The 4,830-nt window shown below is 54.4% G+C and overlaps 1 protein-coding gene across 5 annotated transcripts in view, besides 2 other annotated features; it reads right to left on the bottom strand.

Moving 5' to 3' along the window:
- Nucleotides 1,645-1,939: a silencer, noted in NCBI's record as "tiled region #9506; K562 Repressive DNase unmatched - State 12:CtcfO". NCBI's record gives its function as "represses a minimal TATA promoter and a strong SV40 promoter by Sharpr-MPRA in K562 cells {active_cell/tissue: K562}" and the evidence as "EXISTENCE:reporter gene assay evidence [ECO:0000049][PMID:27701403]".
- Nucleotides 1,944-2,003: an enhancer, noted in NCBI's record as "active region_26385". NCBI's record gives its function as "activates an Ori minimal core promoter by ATAC-STARR-seq in GM12878 lymphoblastoid cells {active_cell/tissue: GM12878}" and the evidence as "EXISTENCE:reporter gene assay evidence [ECO:0000049][PMID:35858748]".
- ZAN (zonadhesin) overlaps nt 3,669-4,830 on the bottom strand; it is a 64,203-nt gene continuing 63,041 nt past the window's right edge. For all 5 annotated transcript variants that reach the window (NR_111917.2, NR_111918.2, NR_111919.2 and 2 more), the window contains 3 exons: nt 4,001-4,100; nt 3,843-3,889; nt 3,669-3,759 (listed from right to left, as the gene is read on the bottom strand). Coding sequence is in view for 2 of the 5 variants with exons in the window: in NM_173059.3 (NP_775082.2) it covers nt 3,734-3,759; nt 3,843-3,889; nt 4,001-4,100 (173 nt within the window). In the remaining 3 variants the exon portion in view is untranslated. The remainder of the gene's footprint in view (nt 3,760-3,842; nt 3,890-4,000; nt 4,101-4,830) is intronic.

Genomic DNA, 4,830 nt, shown 5'->3' with positions numbered 1-4,830 from the left:
TGCACTTGAGTCGCCCCCTGTTGACGTGTTTGGGTCAGTGCTGGACCCCAAATCACAGCTGGGGCCCTTCCCGGTCCAGGGAGGCTTGTCTCAATTTCCCACCTCTACAGCCCTCTTCTGGAGTCCCTCAGGCTCTTCTCTGTCCCCTTTCCCTTGGTGACACATCACCCATGTTTTGTACCCCTGAGGAGGTGTGGGAGGGACTCGGGGGGTCCATCCAGAGGATGTTGCCCAGGCCCACCCTCTTCCCCTGCCAACCAGACATCCGGGCTAGATAAGGTGTCCTAGAGAGCTGTAGCTGGAGAAAGAAAGGTTAATGGGCATTGCAGAGGTGCAGCAGAGAGGCCAAGAGTGAAGACCCGGTGTGGGGAGCTGGGGTCAGGGCAGGGGGCTGCAGAAGCCCCCTGAGGTCCAGCCCCAAGAGCTCCAGGCTGCCCTGAGCCTTCCTGCCACATCCAGCTCCCCACCATGAATGCTCTTCCAGCTAGGGCAAGGGAGAGTCTCGCTGGGCAGGACCCTCCCTTCCCGGGTTTGGGTCTTGCTTCATTCCCATAAAGGTGACCTCAGGGCGTGTCATCCCAGAGGATAAGCGCAGAGTATAACACATTTCTAGAACTCAGTATCCTCCCTGGTTGGTTGGTTGGTTGGTTGTTTCTTTAGAGACAGGGTCTCGTTCTGTTGCCCAGGCTGGAGTGCAGTGGTGCAGTCATAGCTCACTGCAGCTTGGAACTCCTGGGTTCAAACAATCCTCCCGCCTCAGTCACCCAATAATTCTTTACATTTTTGTAGAGACAGGGACTCGCTATGTTGCTCAAGCTGGTCTCCAACTCCTGATCTCAAGCAATTCTCCCTCCTCAGCCTCCCAAAGCACTGGGATTACAGGCGTGAGCCACCACACCCAGCCTGTCCTCCGTTTTGACATCCCCAAACCCAAATCCCCTTTGGGGTCCTACATCCTGATCTTCCCCCAGCCCAATTGGCAGCCTTCCATTCCTTCCAGTGGCACGATCTCAGCTCACTGCAAGCTCTGTCTCCCGGGTTCACGCCATTCTCCTGCCTCAGCTTCCTGAGTAGCTGGGACTACAGGCGCCAGCTGCCACACCCGGCTAATTTTTTTTTGTATTTTTAGTAGAGATGGGGTTTCACCGTGTTAGCCAGCATGGTCTCGATCTCCTGACCTCGTGATCCGCCCGCCTCGGCCTCCCAAAGTGCTGGGATTACAGGTGTGAGCCACCGCACCCAGCAAGCCTTCCTTCTTAGAGCACAAGCAAGACGTCCCAGCCCCCACTTCCAAGCAAGGACCTGCCTGATGGGAGGCAGAGGTCCCGAGGGAGGGGGCGGGATGTTTGCACCTTGGCCTCAGGCTGGGGTGAGTGGGTCACTCCTAGTAGGATAGAGGTCAGAATTCTTCAGCAACCCAGACCCCAGACCCCGCCCTCAGTAACCCCTAGCCCCTTTTGGAAAATGGAGGAATACCGGGGGTGGGGGCCTCTCCAGAGGGTCACAGGCTGATTTGCTTTTTTTGGAAAAAGCCACTTTTTTTAGCCAGGACGTGGTGACATGCGCCTATAGTCCTGGCTACTTGAGAGGCTGAGGCTTGAGCCCAAGAATTCAAGCTCCCATCTCAGCCTCCTGAGTAGTTGGGAATCCTCCAGGCGCACGCCACCATGCCCAGCTGATGTTTTATTCTTTGTAGAGACAGGGGGCCTCATAATGTTGCCCAGGTTGATCTCAAACTCCTGGCCTCAAGCAGTCCTCCCCCTCAGCCTCCCAAGGCGCTGGGATTACACCACGCCCGACCTGCTTTTTCCACTTCTGCACCTCAGTCGCCCCCTGTTGTCGTGTTTGTGTCAGTGCTGGACCCCAAATCACAGCTTGGGCCCTTCCCAGCCCAGGGAGACTTGCCCTCAATTTCTCACCTCTACAGCCCTCTTCTGGGGTCCCTCGGGCTCTTGAGTCCTCTGTCCCCTCTTCCCTTGGTGACACATCACCCATGTTTTGTTCCCTCGAGGAGGTGTGGGAGGGACTTTGGGGGGTGAACTATGATTGCGCCACTGCACTCCAGCCTGGGTAACAGAGGAAGCACCTGTCTCTAAATAAGGAAGGGAGGGACAGAGGGGAGAGAGAAAGAAAGAAAACAGAGAGAGAGAGAGAGAGAGGGAGGGAGGGAGGGAGAAAGGAAGGAAGGAAGGAAGGAAGGAAGGAAGGAAGGAAAAACGAAGGAAGGAGAGAGTAAGAGGAAGAAAAGGAAGGGAAGGAGGGAGGAAAGGATGGAGGAAGGAAGGAAGGAGGGAAGGAAGGAAGGAAGGAAAGGCGGGCAGGCCACGTTTGGCTGGGTAAGGTGGTCACGTGTATTCCTTGTACTTTGGGAGGTGGAGGCAGGCTGAGCTCTTTGAGCCCAGGAGTTCAAGACCAGTTTAGGCAACATAGTGAGACCCTATCTCTTCTAAAAAATATCAAAATTAGCCAGGCGTAGTGGTGCATGCCTGTAGTCCCAGCTACTCAGGAGGCTGAGATGGGAGGATCGTTTGAGCCCCGGGGGTCAAGGCTGCAGTGAGCTATGACTGCACCACTACACTCTAGCCTGGGCAACAGAGTGAGACCTTGTCTCTAAAAAAAAAGAAAAAGAAAAAAAAGCCACATTCCCCAACCTTAGTCTGTACTTGACATGTAAAATTTCTCAGAATCACCTTGGTGGGGAGCCAGAGGCCACGTCCTCTAAGCACTCGGATTCCTGAGGTGAAGTCTTCTCCTAAATCAGAAGCCGAGGGTCTGGGGCTGCATCCCACCCTCCATTCCCCTGCCCGCCCTGTTCCTTCTGCCCTCCCTGCTCCTTCTGTCTCCCCTAGTGATGTCAGCCTCGCCGGGACTGAATGTGCCACCCGCATGTGGCTTTCTCTAAGGGACAACACCCTCACCTCAAACCTAGGTTCCTCTCCCCTCTAGACATTTTGCACAGAACCCAGCCCTACCTAGGCCTCCACGTGCCTCTCTCCCTCATTTTCCTCCCTCCAAGACCCAACTTCCTCCACTATAATCATGTGGACATTCACGTCTCAAAAATACATAATTTTGGGCCAGGCGTGGTGGCTCATGCCTATAATCCCAGCACTTTGGGAGGCCAAGTCGGGCAGATCACTTGAGGTCAGGAGTTCGAGACCAGCTTGGCCAACATGGCGAAACCTCGTCTCTACTAAAAATACAGAAATTAGCCAGGCAAGGTGGTGTGTACTTGTAATCCCATCTACTCAGGAGGCTGAGGCAGGAGAATCGCTTGAACCCAGGAGGTGGAGGTTGCAGTGAACAGAGATCACACCACTGTACTCCAGCCTGGGAGACAGAGCGAGACTCCATCTCAACAAAAAACTGAAACAAAAATAAATAATTTTGGCCAGACACCATGGCTCATGCCTGTAATCACAGGGCTCTGGAAGGCCAAGGCGGGAGGATTGCTGGAGGCCAGGAGTTTGAGACCAGCCTGGGCTACATAGTGAGACCCGCCCCCATCTCTACAAAAACAAAAATGTTAAAATTTAGCCTTCGTGGTGACGCATGCCTGCAGTCTCAGCTACCCAGGAGGCTGAGGCAGGAGGCCCAGGAGGTTGAGGCTGCAGTGAGCTGTGATCGTGCCACTGCACTCCAGCCTGGCGACAGAGCAAGACCCTGTCTCAAATAAATAAATATATAAATTTATTTAATCTTCTTGTCTGAAGACAGCTCAAAACTGAGCAACTTAACAGGCACAGTCCAGAACAGTATCTGAGGAGAAAGCAAGAAAACCATGTATGAGAGGAGACTCAACTCTAGGCCCCGAGGTTCCGGGCTGTGGGGTTGGTTCTCACCTGTGTCCACCAGCCTGGCCAGTCTGTCTCCCTCCTGCGTTTTCTCTCTAGAAGGCATGGGGGAATAGACATGGGTCCCCAAGTGGCCCTTTACGGGCCCAGCCGCTTCCCGGTTTGCACACCCCACCCGCCCTTCCTCTCTCCTTCCCAGGACTCACCTCTTCCTCCTCGTTCTGTAAATGCACTCTCTGGTCACGGCCAGTAGTACGACCACCACAGGCACCAGCAGTCCCAGTAGGACGCCCACCAGGTTAGATGCTTCTGGGTGCGGGGAAGAGACATTAGGTCGAACGTGAGACGGGAAGGGTGGGGACTGAGGGGTACTCCCTTTTGGGGATTGCTTGCTACCCCAGGGGACCTCATCTCTCTAAATCTCTAGGTGTGTCTGCTTCTTCCTCCAGGAGGTTCTCACCTCCAGGGACTCCAAGGTCTTAGTGCCCCCTCCCCAACCCCCGCAATGTTTTCTGTTTGCCATAAGCCTTTTTAGACAGAGTCTGGCTCTATTGCTCAGGCTGGAGTGCAGTGGTGCGATCATAGCTTTCTGCAGCCTTGAACTCCTGGGCTCAAGCAATCCTCCCCCTCAGCCTGCTTTCCAAGTAGCTGGGACTATGGGCACATGCCACCACACCCGGTTAATTTTCGTGATTTTTTGTAGAGATGGGGTCTTGCTATGTTACCAGGCTGGTCTTGAACTCCTGGCTCAAGTGATCCTCCCGCCTTGGCCTCCCAAAGTCCTGAAATTACAGGCATGAACCACCACGCCTGCCCTCCCTTAAGCCTATTTAGGTGGGCAGCTGTTTCTCTTAGGTCCCCTAGAGTCCAGGTGTCATCTCAGCCAGCATTTCTCAAAGAGTAGCCCTGGAGTCACTTCCATAGTTTCCTGGGCCCTTGTTGAAAATGCAGATTCTGGTTGGGCACAAAGGCTCACGCCTGTAATCCCAGCACTTTGGGAGGCCAAGGTGGCAGGATCACCTGAGGTCAGGAGTTT

The sequence above is a fragment of the Homo sapiens genome, chromosome 7 (assembly GCF_000001405.40).
Source record: "Homo sapiens chromosome 7, GRCh38.p14 Primary Assembly".
Classification (NCBI taxonomy): Eukaryota; Metazoa; Chordata; class Mammalia; order Primates; family Hominidae; genus Homo; species Homo sapiens.
Note: the sequence above shows the minus strand (reverse complement) of the source record. Positions and strands in the feature narration are given on the sequence as shown.